The sequence below is a fragment of the Homo sapiens genome, chromosome 9 (assembly GCF_000001405.40).
Source record: "Homo sapiens chromosome 9, GRCh38.p14 Primary Assembly".
Lineage (NCBI taxonomy): Eukaryota > Metazoa > Chordata > Mammalia > Primates > Hominidae > Homo > Homo sapiens.
The window spans coordinates 20,264,264-20,288,489 of record NC_000009.12 but is presented as its reverse complement, the minus strand read 5'-3'; the positions used below and the strand labels follow the sequence as shown (position 1 = coordinate 20,288,489).

The 24,226-nt window shown below is 42.5% G+C and overlaps 1 protein-coding gene across 1 annotated transcript in view, besides 2 other annotated features; it reads left to right on the top strand.

Annotated features, from left to right (window-relative positions):
• Window positions 1–24,226, top strand: part of SLC24A2 (solute carrier family 24 member 2) — an 800,438-nt gene that overhangs the window by 19,403 nt on the left and 756,809 nt on the right. The window lies entirely within an intron of this gene.
• Window positions 1,125–1,419: an enhancer, noted in NCBI's record as "tiled region #2682; HepG2 Activating DNase matched - State 5:Enh". NCBI's record gives its function as "activates a minimal TATA promoter and a strong SV40 promoter by Sharpr-MPRA in HepG2 cells {active_cell/tissue: HepG2}" and the evidence as "EXISTENCE:reporter gene assay evidence [ECO:0000049][PMID:27701403]".
• Window positions 10,783–11,982: an enhancer, noted in NCBI's record as "MED14-independent group 3 enhancer chr9:20276506-20277705 (GRCh37/hg19 assembly coordinates)". NCBI's record gives its function as "activates an origin of replication core promoter dependent on BRD2, BRD4, P300/CBP and CDK7 cofactors, and independent of MED14, by STARR-seq in HCT116 cells {active_cell/tissue: HCT116}" and the evidence as "EXISTENCE:reporter gene assay evidence [ECO:0000049][PMID:35650434]".

Here is a 24,226-nt window from a genome sequence, read left to right as displayed (position 1 = left end):
GCCCTTTCCACTGTATTCTATAGTTTGGAGAAGTTACCCATTCCCTCCTCTCCCACTACCCCACCTCCCGCACCCCCGGCATGCACTCATCCTCTAGATGCAAGAGGAGGGAACAGACTTTACTTCTTGGTAGGAGGAGTGTTGATGCCACCTTATAAGAAGAACATGAGGAATGAGAGGCTTTGGAAAATACAAACTGCCATATGAACCCTTGCATTACACCAAGTCTGACCTTCCCTGGCCTTGAGGTTCCTACAGGCAGATGCAGAAAATACTGATGTACTAATGTATACTCCCCTGCCCCTGCCCAGGTGATGAGCAGATGATGGTTGCAAGTCACTAAGTACTGCTTTTCCTTGTTTCTAAAACTCATTTCTCTCTGTATTTTCAAACTCATGAAATTTAGATGCATCGTATGGTCTGGAAATTTTAATGTGTGTGTGTGTGTTTTTTTCCTAACTCCTCCCTTCCCACTCCCAACCAAAAAAAAGAGAAAGTGTTATCAAATTGTTTGTATACCTTGCAATCAATATGTGTAAAAATTGAGAAAACTTTGTAATAAATGGACTTAGAGCATTTATTTCTTCATATGTGCATTTAACAGAAATTTGAGTATCAGCCAATATCAGGGAGTTTGACCTGGACTAAGGGAGCATGTTATGAACTGAGACTGAAGAATTAACTGGAAGAGATGGAGAGGTGGTTTTGGCACTCTGTAAGGGCTTGTAGCTCTGGAGGCTTCCTTCAGATCAACAGAGGCAATGTGTTAAGTATGCATTCACCAGTGAGGTTCTTTGGTGTAGGATTTCCCTCATTGCTCAACTGAAAGCTCTGCGAAGGCACGTATTTTGTGTATTTTCTCATCAACATATCCCTAGCACTAGGAATCTGACACAGAGTAGGTGTTAAAAAACTGTTCGTTGTATGAGTGAAAAGTCTATACTTGCTCTGTCTTATTTGGGTATTTTTTCTAGAGGCTACCAACCCTTTTGTTCTGTGGTTATCAGAATAGAGCTGGTTTCCTGCAACCCACCCCACCTCACCCCAGGGGAGTTGATAGGCTCAGCATATAAAAGTTACCTGGGCAGGAGTGAGGAGAGACACACCTCTGGCCATTGGGCTGCTATGACCCTCCCGCAGCCTCCCATGGGTCTGTTCACCTTTGCTCTCCCCAATGAGATGAATGTTTGCCTGGTTCCCAGATTCCCTAGGTAATGGCTAGTCCTTATCAGGAGGACCAGGTCCTGCAAGAAATGTCCCATTGTCCTTTTAAACTGCTGAGTCACAGAAGTTGAATAAATGTCATTTTTCTCCTAGTGAAAGCATGGTGGAGGATTTGTGCTTATTTATACAGGTTTGGTTGTCTTAAAACAATGTTTCCCGGAATGCAGCTCACTGCATCAGACTTACCCTGGCATGTTTATTTAGGAAGCAGACCTCCGGGCCTCTACTCTAGACTCACTGAATCCAAAGCCCTGGGGTAGGGTCAAGGAATCAGTATTTTTAGCAAGCACTTTAGTGTTTCTGAAGCAAATAATCTACATCTACATCCTTATAATCATAACATTCTAGTGCAATTGTTAAGGAGGATGAGTGTTGGGGTAAGAGTTAGTAGGGTTGGAATCCTCAATGTGTCCTTGGACAAGTTAAGCATCCTTTCTCGGCCTCCTCTGTAGTGCATCCAAACACTTTGTTCAGGAGAGTCCTGTTTTGTGCCTGCTGTCCTGGCATTATTATCAATAGCATCCCCTTCCCCAAGTGTCATGATTTAAATAGCAACTGACATGTATAATTTATCCATACTCATCCGTGCAAGGGGAAGGTGGCAAACACTGCTGTTGCCTGCCAGTAGTCATTCTCTCCTTCTCCCTCAGTTCTATTCTGCTAAAATGACAGATCTCAGCCCCCCCTTGCAGCATAACATAGAGCAATCTAATGAACTGTAAACAGGAGTTCTGCTTTTCTGTAAAACCTTTTTTAAAAGAGAAACTGAGTTGTCCTGTGCCTTTTGCTCATCATCCTTACTATTCTTCCTACCTGAATGCCAGATATGGAGTTATATTCTTGTTAGTACAAGGAAATAAGCAAAGAACAAAAGCCATGCATGAAGGATAGCTAAACAGCAGAAGCTTGATGGAGCCTGGATGTGACAGCTGCCACATCATCTCCCTGAGCTGCCTCATAGCCCTGGTCTGCTTTCTTCTGTAGTTATTGAATATGAGAAAAATAAGCCTTCATTTGGTCAAGCCATGGTAGCTTGGATTTTCTATTATGTGCAACCAAACCTATTCCTAACTGATACAAAGATATGCGCACCCACCTCTGGACAGTGTCATAAGGATAAATGAGAGCAGTGGGTGAAAAATGCATAGCTCAGTGCAGGCATAAGTTCTTCATATATGATGATTTGCAACAGGAAAGCTGTTTTCTCTTCCTTCCTGGGAAGGGGACTGTGTTAGTCTGCTCAGGCTGTCATAACAAAATACCACAGTCTGGGTGTCTTAAACAACAGAAATTTATTTCTCACAGTTCTGGAGGCTGGAAGTCCAAGATCAAGGTGTTGGCAGGTTTGGTTTCTCCTGAGCCTCTCTCCTTGGCTTGCTGATGGCCACTTGCTTGCTGTGTCCTCAAATGGACTTCCCTCTGTGCATGCCCTTCCTTGGTGTCTCTCTGTGTGTCCCAGTCTCCCCTTCTTATATAGACACCAGTCATATAGAATTAGGGCCCCACCCTTATGATCGTAATGTTTGAACCTTACTTTTCTTGTGATAGTTAATTTTGTATGTCAACTTGACTGGACCCAGAAATTTGGTCAAACATTCTGGGTACATTTGTGAGGTGACTTTGGATGAGATTAACATTTAAATTGGTAGATGGAGTAAAGCAGCTTGCCCTCTCTGATATCAGTGGCCCTCATCCTATGAGTTAAAGGCCTAAGTAGAACAAAAAGCCTGTCCCTCCCTCAAGTAGAAGAGCATTCTTCCTGCTTGATGCCTTGGAATTGAAACATCAGCTTTTTTCCTGCTTTCAGACTCATACTGAAACATCAGTTCATCCTGGTTCTAGGCCTTCAGCCTTGGACTAGAATTAAATTGCCTTCCTTGGTCTCCAGCTTGCCGATTCACTCTGCATATCAATGTCTTGCCAACCTTCATAATCACACAAGCCAACTCCTTATAATAAACCTCTTTCTACATATTATATATACATCCTATTGGTTCTGTTTCTCTGGAGCACTCAGACTAATATAAGGCCCTATTTCCACATGCAGTCACATTGGATGTTAGGACTTCAACATGAATTTGGAGGGCAGCATGATTCAGTCGGTAACAGGGATGCTTCTACCTATTTCCTTGGGAAGAGGTTTCCTCACATGAATATGACGTGCCACCTCCTGCCCACCCTGCTAGCTCTGGCCTATTGTTTGCGTCATTTTGGCCTGCTGGTAGTAAATATTAGGTAATCCTTACACTTAACATTTAAAAACTGCTAATAGAATTATATTTGGCTTGCTTGAATTGCAAAGGCATAAGAAAAAAGCAGCTTCTCAAACAATATCATTGTAGCTTTTATGTCCTTAAAATTCCCTGTAAGGCATTTACAGAAGCTGAATGTCTTTAAACATGTACATGCTGTCCTCAGGAAAACAATCCTTTTGTTTCTATTTGCTAGGGCCTAATCAGTGAAGGGAAGTAAGATAGGAGAGGCTGAGGACCCCACCCTACTAGGCTTTTCATCTGGCTCCTTGAAATCCAGGATTGAATGGTGCTTTATTGTGCTTGGTTCTCTACTTGTGAAACTCTACTAGTTTCACAGCTCTTGCAGGATTTCTTAAACTTTTCAAAATAAAAATTTTATTCTCTTTAAAAAAATCTCTTCTTTTGCTATGTAGTTAGAATCCTGCTGGGCAGAGATGTTGAATCTTTAGTCATTGGCTTGACTATACCACAAAAAAAAATGTGTTTTAAGCTTATTGACATGGCTAAATGAGGGGTTGAACTATGACATCTCAGAGATTTCTCTGCAGTTATTAAGATAATGTACCTGAGCTGCGCATGGTTGTGCCTGCCTGTAGTTCCAGCTACTCGGGAGGTTGAGGCTGGAGGATTGCTTGAGCCTAGGAGTTCGAGCCTGCTGTGAGCTATGATCACACCACTGCACTCCAGTCTAGGCAACAGAGTGAAACCCCATCTCTTTAAAAAAAAAAATACCTGAAAACACATTTGAATTATATAGACAAACAAAAGCTTCATGTGAGGATCACCAGTGATTTTGACTTATAAAGGGATCAAGTCCGTGGCTGTGTATGTTACAGGTAGTTAGGCATGAGTGGGGCAGGAGGGGGCTCTCCCCCACCCACTAGAAATGTCGAGTGATAGTTCGGCAATTATCGCATTGCCTCTATAGAAATGATAATTCGGCAGCCACGGAGAGTCAAGCCACTGATGGTCCACACCTGTTAACATTAAAAATGTTCATTGAATGTAGAACCCAGGGAAAAGCAGCTTTTTGGGCACGCATGTTAAGAGACAAAATGGTGAAGTATGACATTCCGGGAACACATGCCACCGGAAAAAGGAAAATGCCTCAGATGGGCATGCGTATAACTCCCTAAACACGCTGCCTGCTCAATTCCAGAGGGCAAGAAAAGCATTGCGCATGCGGGAATCCTACACCTTTCGTGGGAAAGAGGCGAGCCTATAAAGTTGTAGGATCAAGATTAAAGCCCCCCCCCCCCTTTTTTTTTCTCTTTTCTCCCTTGGACCTTCAGGTGCCCACTGGGTCTCTTCCAAGTGAATTTTCCTTTCTTTCCTGTTCTAACGTCTTTTAAAATAGACTTCCATTCTTGCTCTGGAACTTGCTTCAGTCTCTTTTTCTGCTTTATGCCCCTCAGTTGAATTATTTCTTCTGAAGAGGCAAGGACTGAAGTTGCTACTGACCCGTATGGATATTCCGGCCATAACTCGGGGTAATTCGAGTCTCTTCCACTGCTAACATGTAGACTTGTTTGCTGCTTCTAGGTCTGGAATCTGCAGAGGCCCGACTGGAGGAGGACAGTGATGATCAAAATCTAGAGTCCATACGAATTGCCAGCAGAGCTAACAAAATCAGATTTCCTCCCTCCAACCCCCATGCAGGGATCACTTTAGGTAGTCTGAACTGGGAATCAGGAATCGACCTGTTTCCTATGCACATAAGCATTCTAATGCAAGTGATCCAGAGAGCATTTGTTGAGAAACGGCAACATCCAAATGGACAAATACACATGGCCAATAACTAGATGCTCAAAACCACTGGTATTTAAAGAAGTGTAAATTAAAATATGATTTTTTCGACCTATCCGATTGGGAAATATTTTTCTAAGTGGTAATATCCAGCACAGACAAAGACACAGCAGATGGCCCTCTCTCTTGCTAAGGATAGGAAGAAGCTGTGACTTATCTGGGAGATGGGAGGGAAGGGAAGAGGAGGATTTGACCATGTGTATTAACAGTCTTAACATGTTTCTATCCCTTTGACTCAGGATAATACTTGGAGGAATTTATCATAAAGAAATAATCAGAGGTGTGTGCAAAGTTGCAATGATACAGATGCAAGGTTCATTGCAGAGTCATGTATTACATGAAAAATAGTAATAGTTTTATATGTCCAACATGAAAGGTATTTGGTTTAAATATTACAGTGTATTAACTGATGAAAAAGTATGCAGATGTTAGAATGATAAAGTTCAAGAGTATATAAACTCGTGAGGATATTATAAGTGATACTGAGTAGAAAATCAATGTATATCTATAAAATCATTTCTTTATACTTTTCTATATTTTTCAAAATTTCTGTAATGAACATGACTTTAATTTTAATAGTTGAAAAGATACCAATTCATGTTACTTCTAAAGATGGGGGTGCGGGGTTGCTGCTGGCATCTGTCAGGCCTGAATTTGCATTTCTATCACTGATAGAGTATGATTTGGGGCATTAATCTCTTGGATTTCAGATTCCTCAACTAGAAAATTGAATAAATGCAAACAGTGTGTAGGTTTGTCATGATAGATAATTGTGTAAAATGCACTTGACACATAATATGTATGTATAAATATTGGATTTTGTCTCCCTTTCAAATTTTTGAAATTAGAAAAAGTACTCACTCTCTGGCCAGAGATCAATGAAAAAGAGTTTATTTCTTTTACACAAACCATGGAATTTCAACTTATTTCTTTTGGATCCTTTTCTGGGAAAAGGTTTCTTGGGGCCTATTTGATACTGTTGGAAGTGAAAACTGGAATTTGTAGTTGGCACTCTAATTGGCTAATTGCAGCCTCTGGTCTTATTTGTTTTCCCTTTTGTCAGTTTTAATAGTTTGGGATATTTAAATAATCTTTCTCCTCCTATCATTTTAATAAAAGAAAATTTTAGGATTCTTGTCTAGAAAGGCAATAAAGCTCAGGCTGCTAAAATGTTCCATCTCCTTAAAATCCCACAGAGTCCCAGTGCAATTTATAATAGCATCAAAAATATAAAACACTAAGGAATAAATCTAATGAAAAATGTGCCAGTGTTCAACAAAGACTACAAAACAATATTGAGAGAAATTTTAAAAAGACTTAAATAAATGTACGTTGTTCATATTTTGGAAGATTTAGTACTGTAGAGATATCAATTTTCCCCAGATTATTCTATATGTATGTTTGCCAAAAGCTATAAACTAGAATTTTTATAGCAGCACTATTTGTAATAGCTAAAAATTGACAACCCAAATGTCCATTATTAGTAGAATGAATGGATCTACTATGAGATATTCCCCAAATCAAATACTATACAACAATGATGCTGAGCAGTTCATTACATGCAACATTATGGATAAATCTGACCAACACTATGTGGCACAAAAGAAGACACACATAAAAGAATATATACTGTATGATTACCTTTATATAAAGTTTGAAGATATGCAAAGTTAACCTATGTGATTAGACATCAGCATTATGGTTTTTCTTGTGGGAGAGTAGTGACCGAGAAAAGAGTACATGGAAGTTTCTGAGGTGCTGGTAATGTTCCGTTTTGGATCTGGGTGCTGGTTACATGATTGTGTTCAGTTGTGAAAATGTATCAAGCTCTATCCTAATGATATGTGCATATTTGAATATATGTGAAAAGTATATACTTCAATAAAAAGTATAAAAAGTTTATAGTTTCCTTAAAAAGTATAAATAAGATAAAGAGTGCTGTTGTAGTTATAGTTTCTTAAAAACTTCATGCTTGGGCTGGGCATGGTGGTTCACGCCTGTATTCCCAGCACTTTGGGAGGCTGAGGCTGGAGGATCGCTTGAGCCCAGGAGTTCGAGAACTGCTTGTGCAAGATGGTGAAACCCTGTCTCAACAAAAAATACAAAAATCAGCCAGGCATGGTGTCTCATGCCTGTAGTCCCAGCTACTTGGGAGGCTGAGGTTGGGGGATCCATTCATCCCAGGAAGTCGAGGCTGCAGTGAGCCAAGATAGTGCCACTGCATTCCAGCCTGGGTGACAGAGAGAGACCATTTGTTCCTCCAGATGCTCTAGGGAAAAATTCTATCCCTTGTCTCCTCCTGCTTCTGGTGGCTCCAGGCCTCCCTTGGATTCTGGCTGCATGGTCTGCACCTTCACATGGCTGTCACCTCTGTGTCTGTGTCTTCTGTTTCTTATAAGGACATTTGCCATTAGATTTAGGGCCCAAGCAGATAATCCAGGGTGATCTCATCTTGAGATCCTTCACCTAATTATGTCTTCTAAAACCCTGTTACCAATAAGGCTACATTCATAGCCTCTGGTGTTTAGGATGTGGACATGTCTTTCGGTAACCCACAATTTGACCTAGTACAGGGGCCCAAGTTCATAAATGAAAACAAAAACGAAACCATAAACCCAAAACCTGATGTGGCTCCAGTACCAGAGATGTTTTCCTCTTTAGTAACAATGGTCACCACTGATTCTTGCACAATCATTCAGGGCAACTTCTGAGGTGCCCAGCCCAGACCTCCCTTACCAGGCTGGTGCCTCCTGTGATCTAGGGCTGTATTGGCTGCTAATAGCTCATGGCGCCCTCTTCTGCAGAGAATTGCCTCTAGTCAGATGGAAGCTGCTTCAATCTAGAGGTTATATACCCATCTCCTCACCTCCCTCTGAAGGCCAATGACTAACAAGGGGTACAAAAAAATGGTACCTTGCCTGAAGATAGGACCACCTCTGTGGTGTAATTTGTATTCCAGGGCTCCCTGTGGGATCACACTGGAGCCACCTGAGCCACATCTTCGTTTAACTTTCTTCGGAGCCCCATTCAGCTTTTTTGCTCCCTTTCTCCCAAGCCCACTCCCCTAATAAACTACTTTTTCAAGAATCCCCATCTCAGACTCTGCTTCTTAGGAACCCAAACTAAGACAATGCCTCTGCCATAGGCAATAGCCTATTTTTCCCGCCAGACCCTGCTGCTTAGAATCCTTCATTTGTTTGGCAGGGGCACTTATGTGAGAATTTTAAAGATGGGACCATTCAGTAAGCTGAATCTCAAAGTCCTGATCCTCAGTGGTTTTACTGACAAATTTTATAAATACTCAGCTTAGAAGATCTACATCATCGATAACAATGAGAGTGTGTCCCTGAGACCTGGAGACCTGCTTATGACCAGCCATGCAAACCACCGGAAGGAACACTTGTTTTAATGGTGGAGGTGAAATGATCAGTTCAGTAACCCAAGGAAAAATTTTTCTACCCCTTAACATGTAATCTTATCTTCCTAATTATGCTTTACACAAGACAGTAAGAATGTATGATCCCTTGGCATTTAATTCTGCAAGTCAAGTAAACTATTAGTCCAGCAGAAGAGCTGTCCAGACCTCTTGGTTAGACATTGTTGATGGACTTGCAATATCATCAACATAGCTTTTTAAAAAATAGCCTTTATTTTTATTTTTTGTTTATTTTTTAAGACAGAGTTTCACTCTTGTTGCTCGGGCTGGAGTGCAATGGCGTGATCTCAGCTCTCTGCATCCTCCGCCTCCTGGGCTGAAGTGATTCTCCTGCCTCAGCCTTCTGAGTAGCTGGGATTACAGGCATCCGCCACCATGCCCAGCTAATTTTTGTGTTTTTAGTAGAGATGGGGTTTCACCATGTTGGACAAGCTGGTCTTGAACTCCTGACCTCAGGTGATCCACCTGCCTCAGCCTCCCAAAGTGCTGGGATTACAGGCATGAGCCACCATGTCTGGCCGGTTTTAAATAAACAATATATGCTTATATGATTTGGCTGTGTCCCCATCCAAATCTCATCTTAAATTGTAGTTCCCATAATCCCCATGTGTCATGGGAGGGACCTAGTTGGAGAAAATCAAATCATGGGGATAGGTTTTTTTTCATGTTGTTCTCATGATAGTGAATAAGTATCATGAGATCTGATGGTTTTATAAGCAGCTTTTCCCCATTTTGCTCTCATTCTTCTCCTTCCTGCTGCCATATGAAGAAGGACATGTTTGCTTCCCCTTCTGCCATGATTGTAAGTGCCTTGAGGCCTCCTAATCCTTGTGGAACTGTGAGTCAATTAAACCTCTTTCCTTTATAAATAACCCAGTCTAGGGTATGTCTTTATTAGCAGTGTGAGAATGGACTAATACAATAAATTGGTGCTAGTAGAGTTGGGTACTGTTGTAAAGATATGTGAAAATGTGAAAGTGACTTTGGAACTGGGCAGGTAAAGGTTGGAGCAGTTTAGAGGGCTCAGAAGATAGGAAAATGTGAGAAAGTCTAAACTTCCTAAAGACTTGGAGGGCTCCGAAGACAGGACGATGTGGGAAAGTCTGGAACTTCCTAGAGACTTGTTGAGTGGCTTTGACCAAAATGCTGATAGTGATATGGAAAATAAAGTCCAGGCTGAGGTGGTCTCAGATGGAGATGAGGAACATGTTGGGAACTGGAGCAAAAGTGACTCTTGTTGTGCTTTAGCAAAGAGACTAGTGGCATATTGACCCTGCCCTAGAGACCTGTGGAACTTTGAACTTGAGAGGTGATTTAGGGTATCTGATAGAAGAAATTTCTAAGAAGCAAAGCATTCAAGATGTGTCTTGGTTGTTCATAAAAGCATTCAGTTTTATTGATTCACAAAGATTTGGTCTGGAGTTGGAACTTATATTTAAAAGGGAAGCAGAGCATAAGAGTTCAAAAATTTTGCAGCCTGATATGTGATAGAAAAGAAAAACCCATTTTCTTTTTATTTATTTTTAATTTTTTTATTATACTTTAAGTTCTAGGGTACATGTGCACAGTGTGCCGGTTTGTTACATATGTATACATGTGCCATGTTGGTGTGCTGCACCCATTAACTCGTCATTTACATTAGGTATATCTCCTAATGCTATCCCTCCCCCTCCCCCAACCCCACGACAGACCCTGGCGTGTGATGTTCCCCACCCTGTGTCCAAGTGTTCTCATTGTTCAATTCCCACCTATGAGTGAGAACATGGAGAGTTTGGTTTTCTGTCTTTGTGGTAGTTTGCTCAGAATGATGGTTTCCAGCTTCATCCATGTTCCTACAAAGGACATGAACTCATCCTTTTTTATGATTGCATAGTATTGCATGGTGTATATGTGCCATATTTTCTTAATCCAGTCTATCATTGATGGACATTCGGGTTGGTTCCAAGTCTTTGCTATTGTGAACAGTGCTGCAGTAAACATATGTGTGCATGTGTCTTCATAGCAGCATGTTTTATAATCCTTCGGGTATATACCAGTAATGGGATGGCTGGGTCAAATGGTATTTCTAGTTCTAGATCCCTGAGGAATCGCCACACTGTCTTCCAAAATGGCTGAACTAGTTCACAGTCCCACCAATAGTGTAAAAGTGTTCCTATTTCTCCACATCCTCTCCAGCACCTGTTGTTTCCTGACTTTTTAATGATTGCCATTCTAACTGGTGTGAGATGGTATCTCATTGTGGTTTTGATTTGCATTTCTCTGATGGCCAGTGATGATGAACATTTTTTCATGTGTCTTGCGGCTGCCTAAATGTCTTCTTTTGAGAAGTGTCTGTTCATATCCTTTGCCCACTTTTTGATGGGGTTGTTTGATTTTCTTCTTGTAAATTTGTTTAAGTTCTTTGTAGATTCTGGATATTAGCCCTTTGTCAGATGGGTAGATTGTAAAAATTTTCTCCCATTCTGTAGGTTGCCTGTTCACTCTGATGGTAGTTTCTTTTGCTGTGCAGAAGCTCTTTATTTAATTAGATCCCATTTGTCAATTTTGGCTTTTGTTGCCATTGCTTTTGATGTTTTAGTCATGAAGTCTTTGTCCATGCCTATGTCCTGAATGGTATTGCCTAGGTTTTCTTCTAGGGCTTTTATGGGAAAACCCCATTTTCTGAGGAGAAATTCAAGCTGGCGGCAGAAATTTGCAAAGGTAATGAGGAGCCACATGTTAATCGCCAAGACAATGGGGAACATGTCTAGGGCATGTCAGTGAACTTCAAGGCAGCCCTTCCCATCACAAGCCAGGAGGCCTAGGAGGAAAAAATGGTTTCATGGGCCAGGTCCAAGGCCTTGCTGCTTTGTGCAGTCTTGGGATTTGGTGCCCTGTGTCCCAGCAGTGGCTAAAAGGGGCCAACATACAGCTCAGGCCATTGCTTCAGAGGGTGCAAGCCCCAAACTTTGGTGGCTTACACATGGTGTTGGGCCCACAGGTATACAGAAGTCAAGCACTGAGGTTTGGGAACCTCCGCCTAGATTTCAGAGGATGTATGGAAATACCTGGATGTCTAGGCAGAGGTGTGCTGCAGGGGCAGAGCCCTCATGGAGAACATCTGTTAGGGCAGTGTGGAAGGGAAATGTGAAGGGGGAGCCCCTACACAGAATCCCCACTAGGGCACTCCCCAGTGGAGCAGTGAGAAGAGGGACACCATCATCCAGACCCCAGAATGGTAGATCCACTGACAGCTTTCACCATGTACCTGGAAAAGCCACAGACACTCAATGCCAGCCCATGAAAGCAGCCAGGAGTGGGGCTGTACCCTGCAAAGCCACAGGGGCAGAGCTGCCCAAGACCATGGGAACCCAACTCTTGCATCAGCGTGACCAAGATGCGAGACATGGAGTCAAAGGAGATCATTTTGGAGCTTTAATTTGCCTGCCCAGCTGGATTTTGGACTTGCATGGGGCCTGTAGCCCCTTTGTTTTGGCCAATTTCTCCCATTTGGAATGGCTGCATTTACCCAAAGCCTGTATCCCCATTGTATCTAGGAAGAAATTAACTTGCTTTCTATTTTACAGGCTATAGGCAGAAGCGACTTAGCTTGTCTCATATGAGACTTTGGACATTTTGAGTTAAGGCTGAAATGAGTTAAGACTTTGGGGGACTGTTGGGAAGGTGTGATTGATTTTGAAATGTGAGGACATGATATTTGGGAGGGGCCAGGGGCAGAATGATATGGTTTGGCTGTGTCCTCACCCAAATCTTACCTTGAATTGTAGCTCCCATAATCCCCACGTGTCATGGGAGGGACCCGGTAGGAGGTAATTGTATCATGGGGGTGGTTTTCTTCACATGCTGTTCTCACGATAGTGAATAAGTCTCGCGAGACCTGAGAGTTTTGTAAAGGGGAGTTCCCTCACACGTGCTGTCTTCCCTGCCACCATGTAAGATGTGCCTTTGCTCCTCCTTCACTTTCCACCATGATTGTGAGGCCTCCCCAGCCGCATCAAATTGTGAGTTCATTAAACCTCTTTTTCTTTATAATTACCCAGTCTTGGGCATTTCTTCATAGCCATATGAAAATGGAGGAATACACACGTAGAATTTCAAAGATGTCAGTCACTATAGCTATATCTCAATCAACATATCATTGGAGTAAAATGAGATTGTCTACAAACTTGCCCTGGATATAGAGACATGAGGAAAAAGGCCTCATCAGAGCTGGGAGGTGAGTGGGTGTCTAAGAAGAGGAATGTATGGTACTATCTTAGGTGTGATCTTCTTGTTGGTGGCCTGAAAGCCAGACTAGCTGAGCAGAGGTAGATATTTCTAAAGCCTAAACATTTAGGAGCAGATGCCACTGTATCTATACACATTTTCACAAAAAAATAGAACCACCAGGCCTCAGGGCAAGGTAACTCTAGGAATTTGAGCAGAAGGAGTGTGTGATTTTTCTTGCAAGTGCTCTGGCATTAGTGTGAGTGAGCCATTTCCTGTGTCCTTCATTGGTACCGTGATTTTCAAGTCCTCTTTTCTTTTCTCTGCAGGTCTTCTCTCTCCTCACTTGTTTGCCGTAACCCCTAACTGAGCTCTATGTCTATGTTTACTTTTAGCTTCAGGCCCCACTGCTGAGAACTTCTTGCTGTTGTTATGTCTTAGTTCAGATGCCAGAAGGGGAATCCTACTGGCTGTGTTCATCTCTTCCTGCTGGGTCGCATCATCTTAGCTCCCTGGCCAGGCCTCAGGTATATTGCCTTGGATCAGGAGTCCACCCCTAATCCTGTCATCTAGGGTCTGACTGAGGTGGGGATTGAGGGAGAAAGTCATGCATCACAAAAGGCGGCCACTAAGGGTCACCTCTTCCGGCTAGACAGTGGCTGGGAGAGGCACAGTGACTGATGTCTAGTACCACCACCCAAGCTTCTGCACCGTGGCATGCTCATCCCACAGTGCAGAGAGGGGTCTGACAAGGGCAGAGTTTCTTCATCCCCAAGAGATCTCGGTGGATGAGGAAGCCATGGTCCACTATCCTTGGGGGACAAAGAGGGACAAAGCTTCTTCTGTCATCATTGTAAATTAGTGAAGATAGCCCAGGCACAAGGCAGGAGGCCTAGCCCTCCCAGAGCTGCAGTGTTCCCTTCACATCTCTGAGTTTCTTCATAGTGTTAGACTAGAGCCTTTCCAGGGTTCCCTTTACCTGTGAACTCTCTGACTCCACAGTGTAGTATCGCAGTTGGTAGAGAGACCTGAGTTTGACAATAGTTCCTCCTCTTTTTCCCTTGCACCTCAAAAGTTAATTCTCAATCCAGCAGCCAAAATTACCCAAGTGAAATATTAATTGGATCAGGACACTTTTTTGATCAAAACTCTCTAAAGAATTCTTATCTTATTTAGAATTAGAGTCAAAGTCCTTCATGCGAGCTAAAATGCCTTTCATAATCTTGGCTCCTCACCTCTTCCCCCACATAACCACATGATCTCCTCCACAATCACTCTATGTAGAAGAGCAGGCCCCCAGCACTCCTGGTCCCCCTCCCCTGTTTTGGCTATATCCATAGTCCTTGAAGCCACAACAGCTGGCATCATTATCTATGTATTTGTTCATTGTCTACCTCCTACCCACCCACACACTAGAATATAAGTGTCAGGAGAGAAGGAACTTTGGCTTATTCCCTCTTATATCCTCAGTGCTCAGAACAGTGTCTAGCACACATCTGGTGATTGAATGAGTGGAGACATACATCAGTAGGTATTGGGGATGAGGGGAGAAAAAGTCATATCTTTCTCTCATCCATCACAAGGCTCATGACTGATACCCATATTACAAAAGAAAGATTAACAAGAGAAAAGCCTAACAGAATTATTTAAATTGTATCTAACATGAGAACCTTCAGAAATGAAGACCCAAAGAAATGGGTAAAACTGTCCTTTTTATGCTTAGGTTTGATGGAGAATGGATAGTTGTGTAGAAATATGATTGAACAGATGGGGGTAAGGTTTAATATTGAACTGGGGAAACTTGGTGTATTAGTCCATTTTCACACTGCTAATAAAGACATACCTGAGACTGGGCAATTTACAAAAGAAAGAGGTTTTAATTGGACTTACAGTTCCATGTGGCTGGGGAGGCCTCACAATCATGGTGGAAGGCAAGGAGGAGCAAGTCACGTCTTATGTGGATGGCAGCAGGCAAAGAGAGAGCTTGTGAAGAGAAACTCTCGTTTTTAACACCACCAGATCTCATGAGACCCATTCACTATCATGAGAACAGCATGGGAAAGACTCGCCTCCATGATTCAATCATCTCCCACAGGGTTCCTCCCATAAAAGTAGGAATAATGGGAGCTACAAGATGAGATTTGGGTGGGGACATGGAGGCAAATCATATCACTTTGGATGCTTTTTGTTAAGATTCTTCTTGGCATCTCTGTGTCTTTGTTTCTTTTCTCTGGGAATAAGGCAGGATATCTGTTGCATGAGGGTTTTATAACTTACTTTCAGGGGAAGCAGGTCAGAAAATTCTTTTATGGCTAGCTTTCACACAAAAAGGTGGGGCAGTGTCTGAGGGTGACCTTTCTGCTTACGCTGTCTTCTCAATTTCCAGGAAGCCATATTTTGGGGGCAGTGTGTCCTGTGCTCCATCAGGGACAAGCATCATGGTTTTGGGCTGTCCACATCCTCTGTTGGGTGTGGTATTGGTTAGACACATCGTCTGCCTCACACTGTGGAAGTCACTGACGGTAGATCCTCTTCTTCCCAGACCCTGGCAGCCAGGATGTGGGCATGTGACCTAGGCTTGGCTTGGCCAAATGGATCCTAGCCTGGGATCAGGATCCAGTAAAGAACACACTGAGGGATCTTAACCTTTACTTGCAACACCTAAGGATATCACCACTGGGCTCCTTGGGGAATCCCCTAGTGCTGTTCCTATTGGCTTCAGCTTCCCATGCATTCTCAGTGGGCCTCTGATAATCTCCTAATAAACCTCTTTTTTGCTGTAGGGAGCCAGAGTAGATTTGTAGAGCTGGCAACCAAAGGAACCTTGACTGGAACAAGAGATGCCATTAATTTTAGGCTGCTATGCTTTTCTTCTTTTTGTTATTTTGAGTTGCCTGATCAGTCAATTGGTTTACCTTGAAGACTGGTTTGTATGTTTATATGAGAGTTATACTACAGAATATGGAGTTTTAGTTTCTCAGTTTTCCAACTTGCTTTAGAGGAGACGATGACCTTATTACAAAATCATCTCATTCAGAGAAGCATAGGGTCTTGTTTAATCTTCCAACCTTCAGGGTGTCAGGGTAGAGTCTAGAACACTACCTAGTACTCAGCTTACATTTGTGGAGTTGGAATAAAAAATTAGGGAGGCTGAGCTAAACATACTTGTCAGGATGAACTGCCACATTAAGGGACGGGTCGAACTATGAGACTCTAAAACAGCAGTTCTCTCTGGATGATGGTAGGAATGATCACAGAAATCTCCCTCTGACATCTGTTAGAGCATCTTGATGTTTGCTATACTACTGAGTCCCTTTTAGGCGGTCTCAAAAAGGACTTCATTTTCTAATTTTAGTGCTGGTGCTTCTCCCAAATTACTGGTTTATTCTTGAGTTTTTAACTTTTAGGCTCTACGAATTATGCAAGTCAGCCATTCTCAAAGGTGTATAATTGGCATTTCAGGCAGGACAATTATTTAGGACTGAAGCATTGCAGGATAATTATCCTTCCTGACCCTAAACCACAAAATGTGAGAAGTAGCCCCAAGTTCTTGTGAAAAAGTGAATGCGATCTAATAGTTTAACCTTTCCCCCTCCAGATGGGCAGCATCTCAGGCTGATCATGTTTTCCTCTTTGCTTTGGCCATTAGGTGGCATAGCACCAAATCTGATTAAGTACAAATTTTTGCAATATCCTTACAAATGGATAATCTAATTTTCTTTATTTTTTAGTTGAATTTCTTTATCCTTTTTTGCTCCTCTTTATATATTATATGCATTTTGCAAACTCATTCAAACCTTTCTTTAATAACAAAACGGAGTCCAAGTAAAATAAAATAACAAAATATTTGGATAGTGTGTGTTGCTTGTAGATGCTTTAAAAAAAAATTCAACATCTGTGTCAGTCTCTTGCTTGAGCTTTTCTTTCCTAAGATGCTTCAGGAATAAAATTAGTTGCAGAAACACGTCTGATATCATTTGTCTATTGCACCTAGCAGTGCTGTGAGTGAGAGAGCCTTCTGTGTGCTGATAATCTCAGTCATTTGTAAAGTGATTTCTCAGAGATGATCTGTTGAGTATAAGCAGAAAAAATAAAAAAGGAAATTCCATAAAAGAAAGCAGCAGCAGCATATATCTGGCAAAACCCACTAGCCCAGCAGCAGAGGATGAATAAAGACACACAGTCTCACTCTTGAAACTGCAGGAGAGCATATTCTGGGTAGGATGTAACTCCCCAGACATCTGTTGGTGACATCTACAGTCAGACATGCATCATTGAAGGGATCTGTAAATTATATGGGGGACAGTTTAATGATCTACAAAGCAGCACATCCAGCCAGCACAGACAACATCTTCGAAATAGGGCAAGAGAATTAATTTAGATGGGAGAGGAGAGGGTGCTGAGGTGGGTGAGTGGAGAAAGGGCTCTATGGGAGCCCTTTATGGGAAGGACTCCTTGGAGACAATAACCTTAAAGCGAGAGTAAGATAGAGTGAAGAGGATGGTGCTGCTTTGTGTATTTCAGGGAGGATTAAGCAAGAGACAGGAGGCTAGCACAACCTGGGGAACAGAGAAGAAAATGGTCCTTTTAAAAAGGAGGGAGATAAAAAAGGAAACTGGATTCCAAAGAACAAAGGCAAGTTCTTCCCTCTGTGCCCCATTTATTTAAGAAGACTAGGCAGGAATAGTAGAATTCTAAATGCTTTCTGAAAAATATTCTAAGACATCAGCTTTCAAATTTTTATTGTATAAAAACATTTTTGTTTTTAAAATAAATTTATGCAAAGTTCCACTAGAATGTGAACTCCATGATGACACGGGTTTTTGTCCCATTGTTAACTGTTATATCCCCAGAGTCTGTCACATAGCAGGCACTCAATAAATATTTGTTGAATGAATGAATGAGTAGGTATGCCTTTGGGCTGGGAAAGATCTTTACCTCTCTAGCAGAGACCAGAGCTCCTTAGGGAAAGCACTTTATTTTAGGGAAATACCTTGCTAAATCACCTTCAGGGAGAAGGCAACCAAGAAACAGCTAAAGGCTTTTTGTAAGTAATAAACTTGAATTTGATGGTGGGGATGGGTTGCAAAGAGAAGGGAGGAAGAAGGATGGAGAGGCTGAGTAACAAGGCTTGTCATGAATAGTTATGACTAATTCTCTTAAATTACGTCCTGTGAGGTACACAGGAAACTCCTTACCATTATTCCCAATTCTACAGTAAAAAATATAGCCTAGACATCTCCTTTATGTGTGAGATATGGAAGGGCAGTGCTATGGTTTTTTTATTCCCACCAAAATGCATGCTGAAATTTGATTCCCCAGTGTGGCAGTGTTGGGAAAGTGAAGCCTGGTGGAAGCTGTTTGGGTCATGGGGTTGGATCCCTTATGAATAGGTTGGTGCCCTTCTGGTGGTTGTGAATGAGCTCGCTCTCTGACAAGACTGGATTATTTTTTGCAGGAATGGATTATTTCCTGCTAGAGTAGGTCATTATAAAGCCAAGATGCCCCTCCAGTCTTCCCTCTTCACACGTCTGCTTCCCCTTTGAAATTCTCCACCATGTTATGATGCAGCATGAAAAATCTTGCCAGAAGGCAGGGCCATGCCCCTGGACTTCCTAGCCTGCAGAACTGTGAGCTAAATAAGCCTCTTTTCTCACAAATTACTCAGGCTCAGGTATTCTGTTATAGCAACACAAAACAGACTAAGACCAGGTATCAACAAGAAAGCGGTCAAGTCCTTTGTTTGGGTCAATGCCAAGAAGAAGATAAAAAACAAAAGGAACAAAGAAGCCATATGACTCAGATTGACAGATGTAGTAAAAACAAAGTATGAGATAGAGATGACTACCAGAAGGTAAGCCTCTAAGGAATTGAAAAAAAATCTTGGTGAGGGTCGGGGGAGCAGGTTGTACTTCTCCTTGGTTGTAGAATAGGGGTTTGGTTTGCTCTTATCTGGATATTAAAGGACATCTGCTATCAGGGGTACATGAAAAGCAGATGAAACGGAGCTGCTGGGAATGAAGAGAGACACCCAGAACACTCCTCCTTTCACTCGTGCCCCTTCTTACTGTACCCCACCTGCCTTTGAAGCTTTTACTTGCTGAGAACAGAGAAATGAAAGGAAGTTCAGGAGAGTCATGGGTGGGAGGAGGAGAAGAGCTGAGGAATGAGGCACTGGGGATTTGGATTCAAACCCATGGTATAGTAGGGATATTCCTGAGATAGCCATATCCCCAGTTTCCAACATCATGGATGCGTCTCCTTTTCTTACCTATACAACAGGGATAAAAACACCTGCCCTCCAGAGTACTGGAAAGATTCATATGCATTTATATTAAGGGAGAGCCACAAAACTTGAGATTTTGAGTGTCTAGACTCCTTCACGGCTAAGACCCCCTCCTGCACACCAACTTAGGTGGGGCATAAAAATTCGTGCTTCAGGCAAAAAACAAGTAACTCCCCACCCCCTGAAATCCATTGAGGTCACTTTTAAATTGTCAAAGCAGGAAATATTGCATCCTTAACTGCTAAATTGTACCTAAAAATAATTCTTAGCAACAATAACAAAAATCCTTAGCTGCAAAAGGGGTCCATAGTGGGTTCAACTCTTGTTAGCTGGCTGTTGAAGATGATATCCCTGAATGTGGAAAACTGAATGTCCCAGAATGGTACTCCCTTAAGAGTTCTCTTTCGTAGTTCCTCCACACACATACCATTTATTTTGGGCCAGAGACTGCCTGCAATGAGTCTGGGACAAATGGGAAGATATGTGAACTGAGTATATTCAAATAGGCCCTGGAAGGATGCCTGAATCCTTTACATGAGAGGCAAGCCTGAAGAAGTAGATGTCTTAGTCTGTTTTCTGTTGCTTATAACAGAATACCTAAAACTGGGCTATATAATTTATTTGTCACAGTTATGGAGGCTGAAAAGTCCAAGACTGAGGGGCTGCATCTGATGAGGGCCTTCTTGCTGGTGGAGACTCTGAGAGTTTTGAGGAGGTGCAAAGCAGCACATGGTGAGGGAGCTGAGTGTGCTAGCTCAGATCTCTCTTCCTCTTCTTATAAACCCTTCAGTGCCACTCCCATGATAACCCATTAATCCATTAACCCATTAATTCATTAATCCATAAGTAAATTAGTCCATTCACAAGGACAGAGCCCACATGACTCAATCACCTCTTAAAGGCCCCATCTCCCAATACTGCCATGTTGGGAGTTAGGTTTCAACATGACTTTCGGAGGAGACATTCAAACCATAGCAGTGGGGCATAAGGCCTGATGTAGAGGAAGAAGACCATGGGGCTATTGGCTGTGAGGGAGCGCCCTCTCCTCTGCTCCTCCCTATTGTCAGTTTTCAATGTACTGTCAACAACTCACACCTGAGCGTGAGAGGGAGTGAATCCTAAGCCATGCTTCCCACATCAGTGTTAATCTTCTCAAGCCAATGTGGCTAAGGTAGTTCACTTGCACCTCAGGCTACTCATTTCCCATTCCCTCCTTAAGGCAAAGGAGCTAAATAGCAGATAACGTGGCTGTGGGGCAGGAAGTGCATGAAACATCACGGTGGAGGAAGAAAAGTAGGGGCCAGGCAACCCAGTGGGATGGGGAGGTTAAAGGTAATTGAGAGAGGGTTGAGGGCCCTATTCTCACTTCCTGGCACCCAGTAGGAAGGGCCAATGAGAAAGCTCAAAGTCATTCACTCCTTACACGATTGACTCATTCACCCACTCTTCTTAGGTCCATGAACCAGGCCCTTTATAGATACTTGACACATGAAATTAAAAAAAATTGTGTTTCCTCTTGGCAACTTCATAAATGAGAGGCAAACATTCTCTAAATGGAATGTAGTCCTGCAATACGCCAAGTACAATTTATTCATTTATTGATCACCTACTATGTGGCAGACACAGTGCTGGGCTTGGGGAATGTGCACTCAAAAAGTGTTATCAGAGCCCATGAAAAGGTGAGGCATCCAATGCCTCCCCTTAGAGTCTTCCCTGAGCGCCTATTCTAGGCTGTGTTAAAGGCTGGAACCCCTTTTTCAGAGTGTTATTCTTCTCCTACCACCAAAGAGCCTGACAGGACAGTGTAGCTGTGGGGTGGTGGCGGCACTCGGGGGTCCTGGCCAGACAAGCACTAGGAGACGCCAGCATTCTGAACTCACTGACCTGAAGGTGAGTTTTCAGGGGGATCCGGGTAAGCAATTGCCATATTCTTATTCCAAACTTACCAGGAGACCTGGACAAATTTGAGTTGGTGTGGGGGTTAGAGGGTGGGGATGGTGATGGTTATTGTGAAAACTAGATTTGCTATATGATGTAAATATCTTTGTGATTAAAGAAGCCATTTAATTTAATCTCCACTTAAAATATTATAGGTTGGCATTTTCCAAATTGGGTCTGAAGAACACTTGTATCTTCACAGAAATTTGTTTCAAAAGTATTCTGTTTTATGATAATTTTTGTTTTGTCAGTTAAACCAAACCAGCTTTTTTTTTTTTTTCATTTCTTAAGAGATGGTCTTGCTCTGTCATCTAGGCTGGCCTCAAACACCTGGGCTCAAGTGATGTTCCTGCCTCAGCTACCCAAGTAGCTAGGACTACAGATGTGTTCCACTATGCCTAGCTGATTATTTTAATTTAGTTTTGTGGAGATGGGGTCTCATTCTGTTGACCAGGTGGGTCTCAAACTTCTGGCCTCAAGTGATCCTCCTGCCTCAGCCTCCCAAAGTATTGGAATTATAGGCATGAGCCACTGCACCTGGCATCAATTCCTTTTAATTACAGTACTGCTCAGTGTCTCCACTTTGATAAAGTGCACCGTGAATCTCCAAGGATACAGAGATTTTCAAACTTGCTTATGTAGAACCTAGACTAATTTTCAGAAAAATAAAGTTGTGAAATGTAGGTCTGATATTTCAGCAAGTTTTGGGATGCCATTGTTTATAATTTTGTGTGTCCCTGAATTTTCCTGGAAAGAAACATTTATTAGGTGCTTAGCAGATGTGCCAAAAAAAAAAATTACTGAGGTCTTTGTGGAAACTTGAAAAGCAGTTATCGAAGGGCTTTTCGTGGTCTAAGAACTATAACTATGAGAAGAGCAGTTATCTGGAGAATGAGTTAGGTCTTGAGCTATAGGGAACACCCAGAGACTGGGTATTGGGGAACCTGCCCCCGACAGTCATGTAGGTTCTTTTCTATTTTCACTAAGCATCAGCCGTTTAGAGAAATAAAGGGACAGAGTACAAAAGAGAGAAATTTTAAAGCTGGGTGTCCGGGGGAGACATCACATGTCAGTAGGTTCCGTGATGCCCCACAACCCACAAAACCAGCAAGTTTTTATTAGTGATTTTCAAAGGGGAGGGAGTGTACGAATAGGGTGTGGGTCACAGAGATCACATGCTTTACAAGGTAATAGAATATCACAAGGCAAATGGAGGCAGGGCGAGATCACAGGACCACAGGACCAGGGCGAAATTAAAATTGCTAATGAAGTTTCGGGCACGCATTGTCATTGATAACATCTTACCAGGAGACAGGGTTTGAGAGCAGACAACTGGTCTGACCAAAAATTTATTAGGTGGGAATTTCCTGGTCCTAATAAGCCTGGGAGTGCTATGGGAGACTGAGGCTTCTTTCATCCCTACAGATCGACCATAAAAGATGGCCGCACCCAAGGGGGCCATTTTAGAGGCCCACCCTCAGGGACTCATTCTCTTTCTAAGGAATGTTCCTTGCTGAGAAAAAGAATTCAGCGATATTTCTCCCATTTGCTGTTGAAAGAAGAGAAATATGGCTCTGTTCCACCTGGCTCACCGGCGGCCAGAGTTTAAGGTTATCTCTCTTGTTCCCTGAACATTGCTGTTACCCTGTTCTTTTTTGAAGGTGCCCAGATTTCATATTGTTCAAACACACATGCTCTACAAACAATTTGTGCAGTTAACGCAATCATCACAGGGTCCTGAGGTAACATACATCCTCCTCAGCTTATGAAAACGACAGGATTAAGAGATTAAAGTAAAGACAGGCCTAGGAAATCACAAGGGTATTGATTGGGGAAGTGATAAGTGTCCATGAAATCTTCACAATTTATGTTCACAGATTACAGTAAAGACAGGCGTAAGAAATTATAAAAGTATTAATTTGGGGATCTAATAAATGTCCATGAAATCTTCACAATTTATGTTCTTCCGCCATGGTTTCAGCTGGTCCCTCCGTTTGGGGTCCCTGACTTCCCGCAACAACTCGGCGACTATTCTTCAGCTCCCTTTTATGACAGTCAACCCAGGCCCATGGATACCCTGCCTTTACCAGGAATCCACACAGTAGACTGTGTCTGTTCACCCACTGCCGGCTGCTCTGACAGAAGCCATAGATGTCCGTCCTTTCTAATCCTCACATGATGAGGAAGGCTCCAGAAGTGCAGGCAGGCAGCCATTGATATGGATCTCCCGCTGTAGCCCGCTGCAAGAGCAGAGCCATTTAGCAGGAGGCTGCTTCTCCAGCTGGCCTGGATGTATCCTCAGGTGGTGAAAGACCCATGCTAATAGACCCAGATGTACCAGGGCTGGGAGCACGGGTGAATCCTAGATAGGCCTCTGTGCTCATTGCCGGAGTGGCTTAGGATTCTCCAACAGTCCAACAGTGACTCCTGAGCCGTCTTGAACTCAGAGATTACACATTTTAGAACTGATAGACCTCTGGAAGGCATTAATACCACCTTCTATGTTTTACAGGCATGTTGTTTTTTACAGGGATTAAGTAACTTGCCTAACTCCTTTAGGCCTCTGTTTTCTATAAAACAAAAAGTTTAGCGTCAGGAAAAAGAGAAACAAATATTAAGCACCTATATTTTACCACAGGTTATTTTTCATATGATCTCAAATATCACAAGGACACTATATAATTTAGATATGATTGATTGCTCTCATCTTCCAGAGGAGGAACCCAAAACTGAGATTGTCTTTTGTCCAAATTTCCATAGTTAGTAAGTGATGGACACAGAATTGAATGCCAATTGTGTTTGATACTTCACCTCCACCTCTTGTCATGCTACCATTCCACCAAGAAAAGATTTGTTTCAGAAGTTCTTGACTTGATGTTTTCTTAAGGAGAATCTTTGGAGAAGGGCAAATTCAGCTGCAACACATGAAGCAGGGGCAGCTGTCCTGACCTTTGGCTTTTTGGTGGCCCTGCCCACTGTGGATGAGATGAACTGAGTTATCTGAGAAAAGGGGATTACTTTGTTCCAAGTACTTTACAAGCAGGAACTCATGTAATCTTCCTCTCAAGGGAACTG